The 21,706-nt window shown below is 37.8% G+C and overlaps 1 long non-coding RNA gene across 2 annotated transcripts in view; it reads left to right on the plus strand.

The window, feature by feature from the left end:
* The window catches only part of PPIC-AS1 (PPIC antisense RNA 1), a 20,849-nt gene extending 5,418 nt beyond the window's left edge, over positions 1–15,431 (plus strand). The window contains exons 1-2 of one of the 2 annotated variants that reach the window (XR_001742869.2): positions 10,629–12,019; positions 13,124–15,431. This is a non-coding gene — a long non-coding RNA (PPIC antisense RNA 1). Of the gene's footprint in view, positions 1–10,628; positions 12,020–13,123 lie in introns of those variants that run through there. The other variant, XR_001742868.2, reaches the window with a different exon arrangement.
* The last annotated feature ends 6,275 nt before the right edge of the window (positions 15,432–21,706 follow it).

Genomic DNA, 21,706 nt, shown 5'->3' on the forward strand with positions numbered 1-21,706 from the left:
CATTAGATCAATTCATATCTCTATCCTTACTTTTATCTGCTTGTTATAAGAGTTACTGAGAGAAGTGTGTTAAAAATCAATTTCATCATTGACTCTAGTTTGTTTATTTCTCCTTGTAGGTCTGTAAATTTTTTCTTTATATGTTTCTTTATATATTTTTGAGACCCTATTGAATGCAAACACATCTAAAATTATCTTTTGATTAATTAAATTATCTTATCATTATGTAGTATCATTCTTTATTTCTAATAATGTGTTTTGCCTTAAAGTCTGATATTAATTCTCCGTCTACTGGATTGGTCCATTATATGTTCTTTTATTATTCTTTCAGTAGTTATACTAGAGATTACAGTATATATTCTTGATTCCTTAAAGCCTACCATTACTTGTCACCTTTACTCTCTGGGTAATGCAAAAAGCTCAGGACACTTACCTCCTTTTCCCTTCTTAAGAATTGTATGCCTTTGTTGTCATGTATTTTATTTTACCCCATGACACAATTATTATTGTTTAATAAAGTTATATACACTTAGATATATCCACATATTTACATTTTCATTGCTCTTCATTACTTCTTGCATTTCAGACTTTATGTGGCCATTTTCTTTCTGCCTGAAGAAGTACATTTGGTATTTCCTTAACTGCTAGTCTGCTGGCAACAAATTATTTTATTTTTATTTGCCTGAAAATGTCTTTACTTGACTTTATTCCTGAAGGATATTTTTGCCCAGTATAAAACTATTTTATTTCTGTAGTATCAATATGTTACTTCCTTTGACTTCTAGCTTCCATTATTTCTGTTGGAAAATCCACTATTAGTCTAATTGTTGCTCCTTTGAAAGTGATTTGTTTTTTAAAATCTGAATGATTTTAACATTTATCTCTCTATATTTTGATTTTAAAGCAGTTTTATTAGAATTTGCTTAAATGTAGATTTCTTTTTACTTATCCTACTTGGGACTCAGGATTTCTGACTCTTTACCAAGTTTAGAAAATTCCCAGTCATTAACTCTTGAAAAGTCAATTATAATCAATCTCACTACCCTCGTACAATTACTTTCTTTTCTTTTTTTTTTTTTTTTTTTTTTTTGGAGACGGAGTCTCACTCTGTCACCCCATGCCTGGAGGCCTGGAGTGCAGTGGCAGATCTCAGCTCACTTCAATCTCTGCCTCCCAGGTTCAAGTGATTCTCCTGACTCAGCCTCCCAAGTAGCTGCGATTACAGGTGCCTCCCACCACACTGGGCTAATTTTTGTATTTTTAGTAGAGACGGGGTTTCGCCATGTTGGCCAGGCTGATCTTGAATGTCTGACCTCAGGTGATTCACCCGCTTCAGCCTCCCAAAGTGTGGGATTACAGGCGTGAGCCACTGCGCCTGGCCCAATTACTTTCATTTATGCATATTTCTCTATACTGTCTTTTACATGCACAAGACATTTGAAGTAATATACTGTAAAACTGTACAATTAAAATTATAAATAAAATGTAAGACCATGACATGAAATCCAAACAGTACATGGATGAATTATAAGAAGATTAGCTAATCTGCTAGCAGTTATCTTTTGTAATACTAAAATAAACAATGGCAGCATAACATTTTTGTAGCTTGCTTCTTTTGTTGTAGTTTTGATCCATCACAGACTGTTTGTGTTTCATTTATTAATCATTTATGAGTACCAAAGGGTACAGTTTTGTCACATTTAGTGTTTTCCCCCTAGCTTATTAGAAGCAAGTTTTAGATTTCTGCTACTTGTAAAATAAATGTGGCTCTCAAAGCTGCATGTCAATGTCTTTTATAAAACTCTTTATTTATTTTTTGTCCGCTATATCAATTTCTTCCCTCATTTATGTAAATAACATCTTAGTTAAGTCAAATATTACCTTCCTCTCAAACTAAGACGGAACTGGCACAAATGCCTTTGTTAAATTACATTCACTTTTAGCAAGTAAATGCCTAAACCCTTGTTAATTACTAGCTATTTATTTGAATGATGAATTCTGCTTGGGAAATTTCCTTTAAATGTCAGAATGAGGGAAATGTACAGTGACCTGAGATCATCCAGGAGGCACTAGGGTCTCCTAGCTAGAACCCGAGATCAGGGCTGAAGTTACTGGGGCTCTCATACTGTTCTTGTCTTTAATGTGCCTAGCATCTTTTTCTGGAGCTAATCATTTAGGCAAATGTTCTGCTCCTTTACTACCTGCCCCTGCCAAACTTTCAGTGACAAAATCTTTAAGGGATTAAAAACGAATCTTGCTTTTATTTGCCAACCTGGACAAAACCAACTAGCACTGTTAATGACAGGTATCATTAAGATACTCTGTTCTCACCCTCCCTGAGCTCCTTCAGCAATCAGCCAGAAGAGAAGCAGCAGCATTGATACTTACCCAGGCTGGGCACTGGGGTACAAAACCGAAGATGCCCTCAAGGAATTTCAAAGGTAGGATGTGTACATGAGAAGGGTTTAAAAACTATGTAAAGGAACGGGTTCAGCCCACGGAGAAAGATTGCAGAAGGGAAATACTAAGCAAGGCATCTTGTATACAATATCCTCTATAATCCTGAGAGGGAGGTATTGTTGGAAACTGATAAAACTGAGGAGTTGAAGTTCATCGAAAACCTCAATGTGTCTGCATCTGTGAAGTTCAGGTGTGATGGAGATTTCGCAAATATCTAACTTAACTGGTCAAAAATGGTTAATTTAGAGAACATGGAAGCACGGTTGCACTGGAGCATGATAATTAGGAAGTGACGAGAATTAGAGAGCGAGTAAATATGGCTCTTGCAACTGGTGAAATAGGAGATTGATTACACATTGATTATATTCCAAAAATTAAGGAAAATTTAATTATGCAAAAGAACAAAAATCTCATGCTGTAAAACCCTGATGATTCCTACTTCATGCTGCATTGATCTGAGAGCTAGATGTGTCTTCCTTGACAGTTCAGGCAACCCTGATTCTAATTCTTTGGAGACAATCTGTTATTAAATTGATCTGTGTATTTATGTTCTGTCCTATTCACTGTTATTTACTATTCACCAAGGCTGCCAACTTTTAAACAGTCTTGATATAAATGTTTGTTCCTAAACCTTTGCTGATAGATGTGTTTTATGTAACAGTTACGGAGTCCATTAACATGAAGCACTAAAACACAAAAAGAAACTGAAGAGATTTATAAGCATATGAAATGCCCTCACCAGAGACAGTTGAAATAATAAATTGAAAGTCAAAGGAACATTTGTGAAGTTACTATGAGCAGATTTATCTACATCAGAACACGTTTCTGGGACTGAATCATGCTATATATTATGTTTAACTTAAAAGGTAAAATACAAATTGATTCTTTTATATTGGTAATGACTTATTGTGTTGAGAAAACCCTACTATTGTAGAGGAGAGAAATTTCACTTTGAACACTCCTATGTCATTTGTTAAATTATCTGAATGATTTTTCTTTACAAGTTGGAAGTTTAGGAAAGCTCGAATTATTAATATTTTTATGTGATAGTAAAATACTTCCAGTATTATTGTTTTACAAAAATATCCAATTCTGAGCCCAGTTGTGATAGCAACAGTATTCTAGGAAAAAATTTTTCTTGACTGCAACTTGAGGTATAATTAGTATCCTCAGAAACAAATATCCCTGCCCCTAGAAAAGAAAAACGTTTGGCAAAGCAAAATGGTGGCATCTATCTCCTCGTTAAAACATCACATTGACAAAGTCCATACACTTCTCTGTTTCAAAAAGTCCCAGTCCTTTTAAACATTGACATTCTTATCATTTTGTGTGTTCGGCGCTGGCCACTGACTAACAGTGTCTGTGTGGATTTCTCCTTGAATATCTTTCCTCCATCAACTGATAAGTTAGTCACTCCTAGGATTTCTGGTCAAGAACATGGCTCAAAGAAAGCAAGCTGATAGTACATATTTGAAATTGCAACAAAACATTCCTTCTCTTCTTGTTCTGTGTTTTGTTGTTGCTTGCTGTTTATTTTTTCATATTTGAGGGTAGATCTAAAGGCTACTGAGCTTTCAGGTTGAGGTCGCCCGGGCACTAGAGTGGCAGTTTAATATGCTTTCCTGGGAGAGAAAAGACACTGGTATTGTAAATCTAGCCTGTATTCACTATCACAGGGCTAATCCATGGCCATAAAATTAGAGTCAAATATAAGATGAACTGCAAGCCACTCCTTTCACATCAATCTATACACACAAGCTAATGTGTTATTTTAGGAGTGAAAACAAAATTCTTAATTGCTCCTTAAAGACGTAGCTCAAGGTATGGGATGATCATAACAAATATTTTTGATCACATTTATTTTTCCTGTATGTAACTTTTTATAAATAAATAAAAATGTTAAAATTCAGGAAACTAAAGGGAGAAAATTTTCAAAGTCCCAATCCCCCAAAGTAAATACTGTTTTTTTTTTTTAATTGTAGAGACAGGGGTCTTACTCTGTTGACTAGGCTGGTCTTGAACTCCTGGCCTCAAATGATCCTCTCAACTTGATTTTCCAAAGGGCTGGGATTACAGACATGAGCCACCACACCCAGCCTAAAACATGTTTTTGAGCCAGGTGTGGTGGCACACACCTATAATCCCAGGGATGATGGAGGCTGAGGTGGGAGAAATGTTTGAGGCCAGGAGTTTGAGACCAGCCTAGATAAAATACTGAGGCCCTCTGAAAAAATATTTTTAATTAACAAATTAAATGAAAATTAAAACAGTCTTTTGAAAAATGTAAGAAAATTTACAGAATTGAAAAAATTTTAAGTATCTCTCCTGCAACAACAAAATTGTTCAAAAGAAAAGATTTCCAAATCTTATAAACACCAAACAGTAGTTTTCATGGGCAGGAACTAAAAATTGAATTTGAAAATGTAGCAGGGAGAAGTGAAAAGAATCCCAGCCTTGGTGGAGAAGGGTATGGAGATCCACTCACCTATGTCCCCCACCTGCTCTCAGGCAACACCAGCCCCTGGTAAACCATGGGGTGTCTTCTCTGCCCTGCTTTGCACTGGTCAGCTGCTGCAGCCAGCCAGGCCCAGGGAGGAATGTGGCAGTGATGCCCCATCCACCCTCCTTCTAAGGATATCAGAACAGGAAGAACGTTAGTCCAGTGCCTCTCACTTAACAGATAAGAATGCTGAGGTCCAGGGAAGTGAAATAACTCAACACAGAGCTGGCTCTGTCACTAGGCAGCAGTCCTCCCTCCCTGGGCATCTGAAGGGGTACCGGGCCGCTTCTCCACTTCTCTACGCAGGTGCCTCTGCTGCCTCCAGCTGCCTGCAGAGAACTGCCCAGCAGTGGTGGGCCAAAGTCAGCCTGTTTTCAAGCATAAGCCCAAATGAAAGTTTTTAAATAGCAAAGGAGGATTTCAACCTCCCTTTCTACCAAGGGCACATCATAAGTCCATTTGAATGATTCTGAAAAGCCTCTACGTTTTCCATTCAATGAGGAAACATGCCAGAGGAACTCAAAAACTAAGATTTTCAGTAACAGAACCCAATAAAGCCCTACTGTCCCTTCAGGCTTGACAGAAACCCTGGAATTCTAGACCCTTGGGGCTGGAAAGAGCTTTATAAAGGTGATATTTTGTTATGAGTTTTAAGCCACAGTTTAGAAAAAAGAAGGAAGTTATTACTTCTGTCACCAAGAGGGTACTAAACATTCCTGCCTTCAACTAAAACTATTGCAGAAATAGTTTTTCAATTTTTCTGAACTGAATTCTAAAGTAGCAGTGTAAAATTGATCTCATGGAATTAATGTATAGAATGGTGATTACCAGAGGCTGGGAAGGGTGGGAGGTGGGTAGGGGGAGATGGAAAGGGGTCGGTTAATGAGTACGAACATACAGTTAGATAGAAGGAGTAAGTCCTAATGTCCAAGAGAACAGTGTGACTGTAATTGACAGTAATTTATTGTATATTTCAAAATAGCTAGAAGAGATTTGGAATGTTCCCAATACAAAGAAATGACAAATATTTCAGGTGATGGGTATCCCAATTACTCTGATTTGATCATTACACAATGTATGTATATACCCTATAAATATGTACAACTATTATGAGATCAATTTTTTTAGCTCATGCATATGAGTCAGAACATGCGATGATACTTGTCTTTCTGTGCCCAGCTTATTTCAATTAACAATGTCCTTAAGTTCCATCTATGTGGCTGCAAATGACAGGATTTCATTCTTTTTATGGCTGAATAATATTCTATTGTGTATATATACACATTTTTAACCATTTGTCCATTGATGAACACTAAGGTTTTTCCATCTTTGCTATTATGAATAGTGCTATAATAAATACGGGAGTGCAAATATCTATTTGATATACTGATTTCCTTTCTTTTGGATGATATACACCCAGCAGTGGGATTGCTGGATCATATGGTAGCTATGTTTTCAGTTTTTTGAGGAATCTCCATTCTATTTTCCGTAGAGGCTGTAGTAGTTTATATTCCCACCAGGAATGTATGAGCATTCCCTTCTCTCTGCATCCTCACCAGCAGCTGTTATTTTCCTTTTGGTAATGGCCATTTTAACTGGGGTGAGATTATATATCATTGTGGTTTTGATTTGCATAGCCCTGATGACTAGTGATGCTGAGCATTTTTTCATATGCTTGTTGGTCATTTGTATATTTTCTTTTGAGAAATGTCTGTTCAAATCTGTTGCCCATTTTAAAATTAGATTACTTGGGTTTGTTTTTTGCCATTCAGTTGTTTGGTTTCCTTAAATATTCAGGTTATTAATCCCTTGTTGAATGGATAGTTTGCAAATATTTTCTCTCATTCTATAGATTGTCTCTTCACTTTGTTATGTCCTTTGATGTACAGAAGCTTTTTAGCTTGATGTGATCCCATCTGTCTATTTTTGCTTTTGTTTCCTGTGTTTTTGAGGTCTTATCCAAAACATCTTTGCCCAGGCTAATGTCCTAAAGCATTTCTCCAATGTTTTCTTCTATAGTTTTATGGTTTGGGGTCTTACATTTAAGTCTTTAATCCATTTTGATTTGATTTTTGTAGAAGGTGAGAGATAAGGATCTAGTGTCATTCTTCTGCATATGGTTTTCCAGTTTCCCAGCACCATTTATTAAATAACCTGTTCTTTCCCTAACGTATGATCTTTGTCAAAAATCAGTTGGCTGTTAATGTGTAAATTTATTTCTGGGCTCTCTATTCTGTTCTGTCGGTCTATATATCTGCTTTTATGCCAGAACCATGCTGTTTGATTACTGTATTAGGGTTCTCTAGAGGGATATAACTAATAGGATATATGTATATATGAAAGGGAGTTTATTAAGGAGAATTTACTCACACAATCACAAAGTAAAGTCTCATGATAAGCTGTCTGCAAGATGAGGAGCAAGGAAGCCAGTAGTGGCCCAGTCCAAGTCCCAAAACCTCAAAAGAAGGGAAGCTGACAGTGCAACCTTCAGTCTGTGGCCAAAGGTGGGAGAGTCCCTGACAAATCACTGGTATAAGTCCAAGAGTCTAAAAGCTGAAGAAGTTGGAGTCTGATATTTGGGGGCAGGAAGCATCCAGCACAGGAGGAAGATGAAGCCTGGAAGACTCAGCAAGTCTGCTTTATTCTAGCCACGCTGGCTGTTGATTAGATGGTGCCCACTCAGATTGAGGGTGGGTCGGCCTCTCCCAGTCCACTGACTCAAATATTAATCTCCTTTGGCAACACCCTTACAGACACACACAGGAACAATACTTTGCATCCTTCAATCAAGTTGACACTTAATATTAACCATCACAATTACTATGGTAGTATATTTTGAAGTCAGGTAGTGTGATGCCTCCAGCTTTGTTCTCTTTGCTTGTGATTGCTCTGGCTATTTGAGGTCTTTTGTGGTTCTATATGAATTTCAGAATTTTTTTTCTATTTCTGTGAAGAATGTCATTGATATTTTGATATGGATTGCATTGAATGTGTAGATTGCTTTAGGTAGTATAGACATTTTAACAATATTAATTCTTCCAACTCATGAGCATGGAATATCTTTCCATTTTATTGTGTTCTTTTCAATTTTTTCATCAGTATTTTATAGTTTTCATTACAGATATCTTTCACTTCTTTGATTTAATTTATTCATAGGTATTTTTTGTAGCTATTGTAAGTGCGGTTGCTTTCTTCATTGCTTTCTTTTGACTTATATACACTGTTGGTGTACATAAATGCTACTGATTTTTGTATGTTGATTTTGTATCCTTAAACTTTACTCAATCTCTTTTTTTTTGTTGTTTTTTTGAGACAGAGTCTCTGCCACCCAGGTTGGAGTGCAGTGGCACAGTATTAGTTAACTGCAACCTCCACCTCCTGGGTTCAAGCGATTCTCCTGCCTCAGCTTCCAGAGAAGCTGGGATTGATAGAGTCTTACTCTGTCACCCAGGCTGGAGTGCAGTAGTGAGACCTTGGCTCACTGCAACCTCCACCTCCCAGGTTCAAGCAGTTCTCCAGAGAAGCTGGGATTATAGGCACCCACCACCACGCCCAGCTAATTTTTGTATTTTTAGTAGAGATGGGGTTTCCCCATGTTGGCCAGGCTGGTCTGGAACTACTGATCTCAAGTGATCCCCCTACCTTGGCCTCCCAAAGTGCTGGGATTACAGTCATGAGCCACTGTGCCTGGCCTGAATTTCTTTATCAGCTCTAAAACTTACTGAGTGGAGTCTTTAGATATTTCTAAATATAAGATCATGTCATCTGCAGACAAAGATAATTTGAATTTTTCTTTTCCAATTTGGATGCCCTTTATTTCTCTTGCCTAATTGCTCTGTCTAGGACTTATAGCACTATGTTGAATAAAAGTGGTGAAAGTAGGCATGCTTGCCTAGGAAGGGCTTTTGCTTTTTCCCCATTCAGTGTGCTGTTAGCTGAGAGTTTTTCAGTAATGGCCTTCATTGTTTTGAGGTATGTTGCTTCCATACCCAGTTTGTAGAGAATTTTTATCATGAAGTAATGTTGACTTGTATTGAATGCTTTTTCTGCATCTAATGAAATGATCATATGGTTTTGTCCTTGATTCTGTAACTGTATTACATTTATTGATTTACATATGTTGAACCATTGTTGCATCCCTGGGATGAATCCCACTTGATCACAGTGAATGATCTTTTAAATGTCTTGTTGAATTTGGCTTGCTAGTATCTGGTCGAGCGTTTTTCCATCTCTGTTCATGAGGAATATTGGCCCTAGTTTTCTTTTTTTGTTATGTCTTTGTCTGGTTTGGTATCAGGATAATGCTGGCCTTATAGAATGAGTTTGGAAGTATTCTCTGCTATTCAATTCTTTGGAATAGCTTAAGCAGAATTGATATTAGTTATTTAAATATTTGGTGGAATTCAGCCATGAAGCTATCAGGTATTGGGCTTCTCTTTGATAGGAGACTATTTATTACTGCTTCTGTTGTTATTCGTTATTGGTCTGTTCAGGTTTTCCATTCCTTCACAATTCAGTCTTGGTAGGTCATATATGTCCAGGAATTTATCCATTTCTTCTAGGTTTTCCAACTTGTTGGCATATAGTTGTTCATAATAGTCTCTAGAATTCTTTGTATTTCTGTATATCAGTTGTAATTTCTCCTTTTTAATTTCTGATTTTATTTGGGTCTTCTCTTTTTTTTCTTTTTTTTAAGTCTAGTTAAATGTTTGTCAATTTTATCTTTTCAAAAAACCAACTTTTGGATTTGGTTTGTTCTTGCTTTTCTAGTTCTTTAAGATGCATTATTAGGTTGTTTATTTGAGCCTTTCTACTTTCTACTAGGCATTTATTGATAAAAACTTCCCTCTTAGAGATGCTTTTGCTGTATCCTATAGGTTTTGGTATGTTGTTTCCATTTCATTTGTTTCAACAAATTTTTTAATTTCCTTCTTAATTTCTTCATTGACCCATTGATTGTTCAGGAGCACGTTGTTTAATTTCCATGTGTTTTTATAGCTTCCAAAGTTTCTCTTGTTACTGATTTCCAGTTTTTTTCCATTGTGGTCAAAAGAGATTCATGATATGATCTCAAGTTTTTTGAATTTGTTGAGACTTGTTTTGTGGCCTAACATTTGATCTATCCTGGAGAATGTTCGATGTGCTCATGAGAAGTTTGTACATTCTGCAGCACTTGGATGAAATGTTCTGTAAACATCACTTAGGTCCATTTGGTTTAGAGTGTAGTTTAACTCTGATGTTTCTTTGCTAATTTTCTGTCTGGATGATCTGTTCATTACTAAAAGTGAGATGTTGAAGTCCCCTACTATTATTGTATTACAGTCTATCTCTCCCTTTAGCTCTATTAATATTTGCCTTATGTATTTGGATGTTCCAGTATTGTATGTGTGTGTATGTGTGTGTGTATAGAATTGTTATGCTCACTTACTGAATTGACCCATATATCATTATATAGTGACCTTCTTTGCCTCTTTTTATGGTTTTTGACTTGAAGTCTACTTTATCTGCTATGAGTTTAGCCACTCCTGCTCTTTTTTGGTTTCCATTTTCATGGAATATCTTTTTCCATCCCTTCATTTTCAATCTATGTGTGTCTTTATAGGTGAAGTAAGTTTCTTGTAGGCAGCATATAGTTAGGTCTTGCTTCTTTATCCATTCAGCCACTCTATGTCTTTTGATTGGAGAAATGTATTTATTTACATTAAGTGCTATTATTGTTAGGTAAGCATTTACTACTGCCATTTTGTTACTTGTATTTTGGCTGATTTGTAACTCCTTTCCTCCTTTCTTCCCTTGTGGTTAGGTGATTTTCCTGGTAGTGTGTTTTCATTTCTTGCCTTTTATTTTCAGTGTATCTATTATAGGTTTTTATTTGCGGTTACCATGAGGCTTACAAAAAATATCTTATAACAAGTTATATTAAATAGATGACAAATTTGATCCCAAGGAAAAGAAACAAAAAAACTATAAAACTCTCCACCTTAAGTCCATCTTCCTCTTGTACTCCCTGCACCTCTTTTATAAGGTCAGTACTCCCTGCACCTCTTTTATAAGGTCATTGATCCTACTCAAGAGAGGGCTGCCCTCATGACTTATCACCTCTTAAAGGCCCCATCTCTTAATATTATCACATTGGTGATTAAGTTTCAATATATGAATTTTGGGGGTACACATTCAGACCATAGCAGTCACTGAATGTTTAACTGTATTAGCTCTGAATTTACCCATGTGGTAGATTGTTTAATGACCCCAAATCACCTCCCTTACCTCCCAATTCCAGTTATGCACTCCTCTTTATAATATGTCTTTGCTTCACATCCCATCCAGAGGTGGTGTCCATTTCTCCAGCCCCTTGAATTTTGGCTGACTTTGTTTGCTTTGATCAATAGAATGTGATAGAAGTGAGGTTGTTTGAGTTCCTGAGCCTAGGTATCAAGTAGCCTCGAAAGTGCTGCTTTCACCTCTTGGAACACTGCTCAGAACTGCTAAGTGAGGAAGCTAATCTAGTCTACAGGAGACTGGAAAGCCACCTGGAGAAATATCGAGGCACTCCAGCCAGCACCAACTGCCAGACATGTGAATGAGGCTATCTGAGCCCTCCAGCCAGATAATCATCCAACTGCATGGAGCTACTTAAGAAAGCACAGGCTAAACCAGCAGAGAAATTGCCCGGCCAACTCACAGAAGTATGAGAAATGATAAACTGTTGCTGTTTTAAGACACTAAGTTTTGGGGTGATTTGTTACATAGTAATAGATAGCTGACACAGCCTGTCATAATCTTTTAACCTGTAATTATATTACAAGAGCTTATTTCATTAAGGGAACCTTTTACAATTCCTCTGCATTCTTGCATTGTTCCTCATGCAGAGAAATTCTCTCTGTAATGAATGTTATTTGCCTGCCTAATAAGAGAACACTCTGAACTTCGAAGGTTAGTAGAGGAAGGAGAATCTCATATGCGGAGTGCTACTTCTCCCTTTCTTCTCATCACCATCACCACCCTGGCATGGATATAGACCCAGCTCCAGGTGAAGTTGGACCTACCAAAGACTTGGGAGTAAGTGAAAGGAGAAAATACACACACACATACACATGCACTCACATAAACACACACACATGGTACTATATTCGTGTTCTCCAGAGAAACAGAACCAATGGGAGGGGAGAGTGTGTGTGTGTGTGTGTGTGTGTGTGTGTGTGTGTGTGTGTGTGTGTGTAGAGAAAGAGAGAGGGAGAGAGATTATGAGGAATTGGCTCACATGATTATGGAGACTGAGAATTTCCACAACCTACCATCTGTAAGCTGGAAACTCAGGAAAGCAGGTGGTATAATTAAGTCCAAGTCTGAAGACAGGGAGACAATGACATAAGTCCCAGTCTGAGGGCAAGAGATGACATGTTCTAGCTCAAGTAGTGAGGTAGGAAAAAGGGGTAACTTCCTCCTTACTCCACGTTTTATTTTCTTCAGGCCCTCAACAGATGGGGTGACACCCACCCACACTGGGAAGGGCAATCATCTTTACTAAGTTCACCAATTCAAATGCTGCTGTCATCTGCAACACCCTCACAGATCCACCCTGAAAAAATGTTTACTCTGGATATCCCATGGCTCACTCAAATTGACACTTCAATTAACATATATATCATTATATACTATAGTAACCATTATATATCATTATATTATAATGTAATATATAAAAAATATATCATACACACATATAGAAAACCCAAGGTCACAAAACCAGTAAAGAGAGGAACTAGGATTCGAACCCAGCAGTCTGGCTTCAGAGTCTGTGCTATTAACAATTGCACTCCACTGCCACAAAGAGTCATATGTGTGACTTCTAGATGTGGCTATTTTAGGAGCCCCCAGGTACCAATCCATTGTAATGGGATTTTCTGCTGCACTGGCTCCTTATCTAACTGCAGCCTGCCTCCTTGGGCCAGACACTGTTCTTCCTCCTTTACCTAGGGACACCCTCTTGTCTAAATTTTTAGAGTCCAGGCCCAAGGGTGGGAGCTCCTTCATCCCAGATGTGTAATATGGGGAATTCCCATTCCCTTTAGGGTTTGGCAGATACTGTAAATTGCCTTTCTAATTTCATTTAGATTTTAGCACCTTTTCTAATTTCATTTCAATTTTCCTTCTTATACTATGCAGGCTGGAATGCTACAACTACATTCTCCAAGACTACCTTGTAGCTAGTTTCTGCATGTGACCTAGCTATCACCAAGAAGACATATTGCTTGAGACTAGGAGGCAGAGATGCTAAATGTGAATGATAGCTCTGCAGAGAGAGAGATCAGATCTTGCAAGTGCAGAGAACAAGACACCTGGATTTCCTGGGACAGCTGCTCTGGGGATTTTGGATTCCAAAGGCCAGTTCTCTTGTCTTTCCAGAAATTCTTACAAGGTACCTACTACTGTTTAATGAATTATTCTCTGCTTCAACTAGATAACATGGATTCGGCTGTCTACAGTCAAAAATCCTGACAAATACAGGATGATACTGCACCCCCAACCATAGGAGTGGTCCCTACAAATGAAGCACATTGGAATACAGTAGCACCCTGACTTCCATATGAGTAATCTCAAGGTTTCCCTTTGATTCCAATTTCACCTGTAGGCTCCAATGTAACAGTGGAAAAGCAGAGGTCATGATGGAGAGAATAGGAGTGAGCCCATAAAACCTGGTTTGGCTGGGTGCGGTGGCTCACACCTGTAATCCCAGCACTTTGTGAGGCCGAGGCAGGCAGACCACGAGGTCAGGAGATCAAGACCATCCTGGCTAACATGGTGAAACCCTGTCTCTATTAAAAATACAAAAAAATCAGCCGGGCATGGTGGCAAGTCCCTGTAATCCCAGCTACCTGGGAAGCTGTGGCAGGACAATCACTTGAACCCAGGAGGTGGAGGTTGCAGTGAGCTGAGATCATGCCACTGCACTCCAGCCTGGCAACAGAACAAGACTCCATCGCAAAAACAAACAAACAAACAAAAAACCTGGTTCAATGATCAAATATTGAGTCAGGGATAGGCTAAGCCAGCAACAAAATCAACCCACAGGGACTTCAGGCCTCAGCAGAATGAACAAGGGAATCTACATTTGGAGATCAAGATCAAGTTGGTTTGAGAAGAAAAGCCAGGACACCAGGTCTAAATTGAGTTCCATGAACAGTATTTGGCCAAGTCAGAAACCCTTTGTGAAGACCCCTAGCCCCAACCACCCACAGGTGTACATGTTCTCATATATATAGGACATGAGGACATGTCTTAACATTTAATTGGTGACCTTTGCCCCTGTGGTATGAGAAAATGGTATCTCCTACTCAAATATCAGATATTTTGGTTTAAAATGTAAAATGAGTCAGAGTTAATTTGTCTCAGTCAGCCAACATGTCATAAAAATATTTTAATTCCAAGTATTGCCATAGTTTATCTTATACGTAAGATAAAGTAGAGCCAATAGAAAGATGCAAAAGCAAACCAAAGTTAGATTATTGCTTCTGATGGGACAAACCCTGTCCAGGAGAATTGTGGGGCCTTTCTTTGATTGACAGGTAGATTTGGGAGTTTTTAGAGGGGACCAAGCCTTTTGGGGCAAGGGAAGATGCAGTTGCAAAATACCACTTGCTGGTTCTTTGGAAAAAAAAAATAACAAAATCTATAGACCACTAGCTAGATTAACCAAGAAAAGAGGAAAGAAGATCCAACTAAGTTAAATTAGAAATGAAACTGGAAACATTACAACCAACACCATAGAAATACAAAAGATCATTTAAGACTACTATGACAACTTTATGCACACAAACTAGAAAACGTAGAGGAAATTGATAAATTCCTAGGGACATACAACCCTCCTAGATTAAATCAGGAAGAATTAGAAACCTTGAACAGACCAACAACAAGCAGTGAGATTGAATTAGTAATTTTAAAATTGCCAACAAAAGAAAGCCCAGGACCAGATGGAATCACAGCTGAATTGTACTGGACTTTCAAAGAAGAATTGGTACCAATCCTACTGAAACTATTCCAAAGGATTGAGAGAGAGGAAATCCTCCTTAAATCATTCAATAAAGCTAGTATCACCCTGATACCAAAGTCAGGAAAGGACACAACAAAAAAGGAAAACTACAGACCAATTTTCCTGATGAACACAGATGCAAAAATCCTCATCAAAATACTAGCTAACTGAATCCAACAGCACATCAAAGAGAATTCATCATGATCGAGTTTCATCACAGGGATGCAAGGATAGTTTAATATATGCAAGTCAATAAATGTGATCTATCACATAAACAGAATTAAAAACAAAAAACCATATGATCACCTCAATAGATGCAGAAAACGCATTTGAAAAAAAAAATCAGCATCCCTTTAGATAAAAACTCTCAACAAACTAAGCATAGAAGGGGCCTACCTCAAAATAGTAGAAGCCACATATGATAAACCCACAGCCAACGTCATACTGAATGGGAAAAAGTCGAAAGTATTCCCCCTGAGAACAGGAACAAGACAAGAATACCCACTTTCACCCCTCCTATTCAACATAGTTCTGGAAGTCCTAGCCAGAGTAATTAGGCAAGAGAAAGAAATAAAGGGCATCCAAATTGGAAAAGAGGAAGTCAAACTACCACTGTTTGCAGATGATATGATTATATAACTATAAAATCCTAAAGACTCCTCAAAAAAGACTCTTAGATTTGATAAATGAGTTTGATAAAGTCTCAGGTTACAAAATTGATGTGTACAAATCAGCAGCACTGCTATTCACCAACGACCAAGCTGAGAATCAAAATAAAAACTAAATCCCTTTTACAACAGCTGCAATAAAATAAAATAAAATACTTAGGAATATACTTAACCAAAGAGGTGAAATATCTCTACAGGGAGAATTATAAAACATCACTGAAAGAAATCATAGATGACACAAACAAATGGAAACGCATCCCATGTTCATGGATTGAAAGATTCAATGTTGTGAAAATGACCACACTACCCAAAGCAGTCTACATATTCAATGAAATTACCATCAAAATATCAACATTTTCATGGAATTAGAAAAAACAACCCTAAAATTCATATGGAACCAAAAAAGAGCCCATATAGCCAAAGCAATCCTAAGCAAAAAGAGCAAATCTGGAGGCATCATGTTGCTGGACTTCAAATTCTACTACAAGGCTGTAGTTACCGAAGTTATACCAGCATGGTACTGGTATTAAAGTAGTCATGTAGACCAATGGAACAGAGTGGAGAACCCAGAAATAAAACCAAATATGTACAGCCAACTGATCTTCCACAAAGCATACAAAAATACACATTAGGGAATGGACACCCTGTTTAATAAATAGTGCTGGGAAAACTGGCAAGTCACATATAGAAGAATGAAACTGAATCCGTATCTCTTGCCTTACACAAAAATCAACTCAAGATGGATCAAAGACTGAAATAAGAGCTGAAACTATAAAAACCCTAGAAGACAACATTGGAAAAAATTTGTAGACATTGGCCTAAGCAAAGAACTCATGACTAAGACCCCAAAAACAAATGCAACAAACACAAAAATAAATAAATGGGACCTAATTAAACTAAAAAACTTCTGCACAGCAAAAGAAATAATCACCAGAATAAACAGACAACCCACAGAATGGGAGAAAATATTTGCAAGCTATGTGTCTGACTAATATCCAGAACCTACAAGAAACTCAAACAAATCAGGATGAAAAAAAAATCTCATTAAAAAGTGGACAAAGGACATAGACATTTCTCAAAATAAGATATACAAATGGCCAAAAAACATGAAAAAATGCTCCATGTCACTAAGCATCAGGGAAATGCAAATTAAAACCATAATGAGGTACCACCTTACTCCTGTAAGAATGGCTATTATTAGGCCAGGTGTGGTGGCTCATGCCTGTAATCCCAGCACTTTGGGAGGCCGAGGTGGGTGGATCACTGAAGGTCAGGAATTCGAGACTAGCCTGGCCAACATGGGGAAACCCTGTCTCTACTAAAAATACAAAAGTTAGCCAGGCGTGGTGGCAGATGCCTGAAATCCCAGCTACTTGGAAGGCTGAGACAGGAGAATCACTTGAACCTGGAAGCAGAGGTTGCAGTGATCCAAGATTCTGCCATTGCGCTCCAGCCTGGGTGACAGAGTGAGACTCTGTCTCAAAAAAAAAAAACCAAAAAAAAACAAACAAAAAAACAAAAAAAGAATTGACTATTATTAAAAAGTCAGAAAACAATAGATGTTGGTGTGGATGTGGGGAAAGGGGAACACTTTACACTGCTAGTGGGAATGTAAATTAGTGCAACCTCTATGGAAAACAGTATGGAGATTCCTTAAAGAGTGAAAAGTAGATCTACCATTCAATCCAGGATTCCCATGGCTGGGTCTCTATCAAAGGGAAATATGTCATTATATGAGAAAGACACTTGCACACATATGTTTATAGCAGCACAATTCACAATTGTAAAGATGTGAAACCAACCTAAGTGCCCATCAACAAATGAGTGGATTACGAAAATGTGGTATATATGCACCATGGAATACTACTCAGCCATTAAAAGGAACAAAATAATGTATTTTGCAGCAACTTGGATGGAGCTGGAGGCCATTAGTCTAAGTGAAGTAACACAGGAGTGGAAAAGCAAAAACCATATGCTCTCAATTATAAGTGAGAGCTAAGCTATGAGCATGCAAATGCATACAGAGTGATATAATGGACTTTAAAGACTCAGAAGAGGGAGGGTGGGATGGGAGATAGGGATACAAAAACTGCACATTAGGTACAATGTACACTAATCGGGTGACAGGTGCACTAAAATCTCAGAATTCACCGCTATATAATTCATGTAACAAAATCCACTTGTACCACAAAAGCTATTGAAATAAAAAGAAACACAGCTTGTTGATTTCAGTGATCCATTGAGCCCCAGCTCAATCCCCATGGCATCCACCATGGCACAAGTCCAGGCAGTTCACCATTGGAGAAGGGTCTCTTCATGTCATGACTGTTATTAGCTGCATATCCCTAAAGGCAGAATTCCCAAACTTGGAGCATTTTATTTCCTGGAGTTTCCTCTTTTTCCTCTTTGTCCATAACATGAATCAATAATAAGCTTCTTAAGACTGCTCTTGTATTAGATAATCATTTTTATTCTACAAAATTGTTGGAACTTACATCATCCACAAATTAAAATTCTTTTTCTTTCCTCCCCTGTTTTTCAACCCTTTTTTCCTTTTAAAATTCATAACCTCTGGTCATTACTTTGTGGTTTTTATCTGACATAAAACCACTTTAGCTGATTAAGGTGGTTATTTGTGAAAGTACCATAATTATCTTTATTACATATTCTTGAGTTATATGCTTCATATAATTAGCACAAATATCTATAATAGAGTAGAAAAAACACAATAGAGCTTCTTAGATAACATGGCATGTTGAACCCATTTGTCTAATTTTGCTCCCTCCTGAAACCCTAGAAAAACTATAGCAAAGAGATTTAAAGTGAAAGGTAAACTCATCAGGGCAGAGTGGACAAAACAAGAGATAAGAACAACATTTTGTAAATTAGAAAGCAGACGGACAGGAGGCAAATGCAAGAAACCAAAATCTAAGCCTGTGGTGGAAAAAGCTGAGAACCAACCTGATTTTGAAGCACAGTCCTCAAAAGCCTTGAGCAGTGGCAGCACCATTTGGTTTGAGCACAAAGGCTTGGTTTGAGGAGGAGGAGGGCTGGACCAGAAGGAAGAAGTTGGGTGGTGAAGAGCAAAACACGGAGGCTCAAATGACAGCTGTTGAGGGAGTGAGCAGGCCCTTCTGCTGGCTGCCCACTCCACCCTGGGAACTGGTCCTTCAGCCTAGGAGCTTTATTTCCTGCAGAGGGTGAACTGATTGTATCTGGACTGGGAAATGCCAGGCAGGGCTTTTGGGGGCTACCATATTAAAACAAGGAAGTTAGGCAAATGTTTGTGCACTAGATGCTGAATCCTTTCTCTTTTTTCTCCCACTTGACTCTCAGAATACAGAAAGTTATTTTTTTCCTTCTATGGAGGAAGAGAGAAAAGTATCCTAGCTGGAAATTGACCAACCCTAGAAAAAAGACCTAAAGATACTGACTGATGCCAAAAGTTGTCCCAAAATAACCCAGCCAGATAATTCTTCAATTAAGTTCGTCATGGATAAACTCAAAGCAAACGTCTCAAAACTTCCAATCAGGTTTCCAGTTCCCCATATTAAACATAAGTAGACAGCCAAAGATTGCCAGGCGTGTAGGGGTGTCACTAACCCAGAAGATAGAGGTGAAAAGGAACCTACAGAAAGAAAAGCAATTTGGAGAAATCAGAAGCAACGCAGAAAGAAGAAAACTAAATGAAACAAAACCCCAAAAAGGTCATTAATATGTACAGAATGTTAAGAGAAGATACTACTTTTAGGTAACAAGTGTTTTTAACCAAAAAACAAAACAAAAACCTAACTTTCAAAGAACAAAAATTAATTTTTAGAAATTGAAAGTATAATAGCAAAAATGTTGTGGCTGGAATGTAAAATAACTGAAAAAGTTGAATAAATCTTTCAGAAAATAGAGAAAAAAGGCAAATGGAAACTACAAGATAAAAGATAATAAAATTGTATAACTAGTACAGAAGTTCCAATAATAGCAGTTTTTCTTTCTTTTTTCTTTTTCACAAAGTGAACATAGAAAAAGGAGTGGAAGAAAGTCTAAGAAAGTACTTTTAAAAAAAAATCCCAGACGTGAAGAACATGACTTAATTGGCCCATGAGGTGTCAAGCATCATGAATTAAAGTGACCCACACCAAAACATATCAATTTAAAATTTTGAAATAAGAAGATTCTGTAAGTTACAAAAAAGGATAAACAAAACAGGTCACATACAAAGGATCAAGGGTCAGAATGGTTTCAGACTCCTCAACTGCATCACTAGAAGCTAAGAGACAGTAGTGGAATGACTGCAAATTCTGAAGGAATTATTCCCAGCCTACAATTCATTACCAGTCATGATATTTATCTAGCATAGAAAAAAAGAGGCATTTTTCAGACTTGAAAGCTCTAAAAACTATTACCTCCCCTGCACCTTTTCTTAGGAAGCTTCTGGAGGCTGTACCTTGCCAAAGCAAGGGAGTAAATAAACCAAGAAAGACTAAGACACAGTATATGGTACCAGGAAGCTTGAACATGGGAGTATGGTAACAGGAATCCTTGGGATAATTGGGAACAGGATGTCAGGGTAGTTACACAGCAGGAGAGGAGGGAAACCAGTCCTGACTGGAGCAGTGTGACTCAAGAGATAGACTAGTGCTATTCTGCTGCCCTTTCCACCTCATAATGCTGTTAGAGGCTGTGTCCCACCAACACAAGAGAGTGCACCAAGCAAGAAGAAGATGTGAGACCCACGAGACAGAGAATCTAAACCCAGAGATGGGCAAAGGCAGTTCAGGGATGACAGCCAAAGGAGGTCTCAAGATGGCAGCTGCCAGTAAGCCTGGTAGTAATAAGCTTAGACGGAAGGATAGGAGAGTGGAGTCCTCTAGAAGGGCATCTTTTTAAAACAATTATGTATATCTATACATATAGAAATATATCTGATAGATTAGCTGGATGAGATGGGTCTGTGAGTGAAATGTTTTAAAAGGTTTTTGGAAGATATAAGAACAATTGAGAAGAAACTAGCAAAGAAAGTAAGCAAATGAAAAATCAAGGCAATTATTAACTTCAGGAAAAACAAAGGGTGTACGATGTTGAATATATTTAATCTAAAATTGTACTATATACTGGGAGGATGAAGGAGGTGAAGCAGATGGATGGTGGTGGAAGAAAATGAAATCCTCAGGCCAGGCACTGTGGCTTACGTCTGTAATTCCAGCACTTTGGGAGGCTGAGGCCGGCGGATCACCTGAGGTCAGGAGTTTGAGACCAGCCTGGCCAACATGGTGAAGCTTATGTCTCTAAGCTGTCTCTACTAAAATAAAAAATTAGCCAGGCGTGGTGGCACACACCTGTAATCTCAGCTACTAGAGAGGTTGAAGCAGGAGAATCTCTTGAACCCAGGAGGTGGAGGTTGCAGTGAGCTGAGATCATGCCACTGCACTCCAGCCTGGGCGACAGAGCAAAACTGTCTCAAAAAGAAAAAGAAAATGAAATCCTCAACTCCCATAATAGAAAGTCAAGTGATATTGTCTAAAACAGAGGACACAAAGACAGCACAATTTTATATTTAGTATTACTATATAGTGTTTAGGAGTGAAGTATGATGTTTGCAGCTTACTTTTAAAGGATATACCAAATGCATGGGTGTATATGGTTGTCTATGTATATATATAAGTTAAAAATTTTTTTATAATGAAGGTTATGGATAACAACATATGACTTAGAAAAATTAACATGTGTAAATGCTACAAACAATACCTCAAAAGTGTTACTCGCTGAAGACAGAGACCAGGAGTGTAGTGAAAGGTGAGTCAGGGATTGGTGTTTTTGTGAGAAGCCTTGTAGCTGTTACTATTTTACTTTCTAAACTATGAATGTGCCTCACTTAGATTGAAAACAAAATTTTATTTAAAGATGTAAAGAAAGGGGAAAAAAGGACTCATGGTCCAGTTATATTCTACCAGTAACTAGTTACATGACCCTGGGCAAACCCTTAACCATAGAGGATAACAGGGTTCTGGACTGTTGTATGAAGAAAGTTCAATTATTTCAAGTTAAAAATCATTG

This window comes from Homo sapiens, chromosome 5, assembly GCF_000001405.40.
Source record: "Homo sapiens chromosome 5, GRCh38.p14 Primary Assembly".
NCBI classification, from domain to species: Eukaryota; Metazoa; Chordata; class Mammalia; order Primates; family Hominidae; genus Homo; species Homo sapiens.